The 1,834-nt window shown below is 44.8% G+C and overlaps 2 annotated features.

Annotated features, from left to right (window-relative positions):
* Positions 469 to 976: an enhancer, noted in NCBI's record as "OCT4-NANOG-H3K4me1 hESC enhancer chr13:58625773-58626280 (GRCh37/hg19 assembly coordinates)". NCBI's record gives its function as "activates a minimal SCP1, AML or CMV promoter by ChIP-STARR-seq in primed H9 embryonic stem cells {active_cell/tissue: H9 hESC(primed)}" and the evidence as "EXISTENCE:reporter gene assay evidence [ECO:0000049][PMID:30033119]".
* Positions 977 to 1,483: an enhancer, noted in NCBI's record as "OCT4-NANOG-H3K4me1 hESC enhancer chr13:58626281-58626787 (GRCh37/hg19 assembly coordinates)". NCBI's record gives its function as "activates a minimal SCP1, AML or CMV promoter by ChIP-STARR-seq in primed H9 embryonic stem cells {active_cell/tissue: H9 hESC(primed)}" and the evidence as "EXISTENCE:reporter gene assay evidence [ECO:0000049][PMID:30033119]".

A 1,834-nucleotide genomic window follows, 5' to 3' on the forward strand; every position in this document is an offset into this window, starting at 1 on the left:
GCTGGTCTGTTCACGTAAGACATGCCTGCTTTCCCTTTGACTTCTGTCATGATTGTAAGTTTTCTGAGGCTCCCCCAGAAACAAGCTACTATGCTTCCTTTACAGCCTGAAGAACCATGAGCCAATTAACCTCTTTTTATTATAAATTACTAAGTCTCAGATATTTCTTAATAGCAATGCAAGACTGGATTCATACAGAAAATTGGTAATGAGAGTGGGGTATTATTATAAAGATACCTGAAAATGTGGCAGCAGCTTTGGAACTGAGTAACAGGCAGAGGTTGTAAGAGTGTGGAGTGCTCAGAAAAGACAGGAAGATGAGGAAAAATTTGGAAATTCCTAGAGACTTGCTAAGTTGTTATGACCAAAGTACTGATAGTGATATGGACAACAAAGTCCAGGCTGAGAAGGTATCAGATGGAAATGAGGTATTTATTGGGAACTGGAACAAAGGTCACTTTTGTTACACCTTGGCAAAGAGCTCGGATTGTGCCTCTGCCGTAGGGGTCTGTGAAACTTTAAACTTGAGAGAAATGATATAGGGTATACGGTGGAAGAAATGTCTAAGCAACAAAGCTTTTAGCAGGTGGACTGGCTGCTTCTAACAACTTATGCTCGTGTGTGAGCAAAAAAACTAGAACTTACATTTAAAAGGGAAGCAGAGCATAAAAGCTTGGAAAATTTGCAGTCTTACCATGTGGTAGAAAGGAAAAGCTCATTTTGGGGGAAGAATTCCAGCAGGCTGCAGAAATTTGCATAGGTAAAGAGGAGCCAATTGCCGATAGCCAAGACAATGGTTAAAAGGCTTCTAAGGCATTTCATGGACTTTCTTTGCAACCCCTCCCATCATGGGCTTAGAGGCCTACAAGGACAGAATGGTTTCGTGTCGTGGCCAGGGCCTTGCTACCCTGCACAGCCTCAGCATCCTCATGGCCCTGCTCCCTGCATCCCAACTGCTCCAGCTCCAGTTGTAGCTCAAAACGGCCCAGGTACAGCTTGGGCTGCTGCTTCAGAAGGTGCAAGCTGTAAGCCTTGGCACCTTCCACATAGGGTTAAGCCTGCTGGTGCCCAGAGTGCAAGAGTTGAGGCTTCGGAGCCTCCACCTAGATTTCAGAGGATGTATGGAAAAGTCTTGATGTCAAAGAAGAAGTCTGCTGCAGGGGCAGAGCCCTCATAGAGAATCTCTACTAGGGCAGTGCAAAGGGGGAAAAGTGGGTCTGAAGCCCCCACACGGAGTCCTTACTGGAGCACTGCCTCCTAATGCAGCTGTGAGAAGAGGGTCACTGTCCTGCAGACCCCAGAGTGGTAGATACACCAACAGCTTGCACCTGTCACCTGGAAAAGCCACAGGCGTTAAACGTCAGCCCTTGAGAGCAGCCACAGGACTAAACTCTGCAAAACCACAGGAGCAGAGTTTGGGAGCCCACTCCTTACACCAATGTGCCCTGGATATGAGATATGGAGTCAAAGATCATTTTGGAGCTTTAAGATTTAATGATAGCCCTGTTGAGTTTCAGATTTGAGTGGGGCCTGTAGCCCCACTCATTCTCTTGGATGATTTCTTCCTTTTGGAGCAGGAGTATTTACCCAACGCTTATACCCCCATAATATCTTGAAAGTAACTAACATGTTTTTATTTGACAGGCTCATAGATTGAAGGGACTTGTCTTGTCTTAGATGAGATTTTTGACTGTGGACTTTTGAGTTAATGCTGGGATGAGTTAAAATTTTGGAGGACTGTTGAGAAAAGATGATTGTATTTTGCAATGTGAGAAGAATATGAAATTTGGGAAGGGCCAGGGGCAGAATAATACGATTTAGATCTGTGTTCATA

This window comes from Homo sapiens, chromosome 13, assembly GCF_000001405.40.
Source record: "Homo sapiens chromosome 13, GRCh38.p14 Primary Assembly".
NCBI classification, from domain to species: domain Eukaryota; kingdom Metazoa; phylum Chordata; class Mammalia; order Primates; family Hominidae; genus Homo; species Homo sapiens.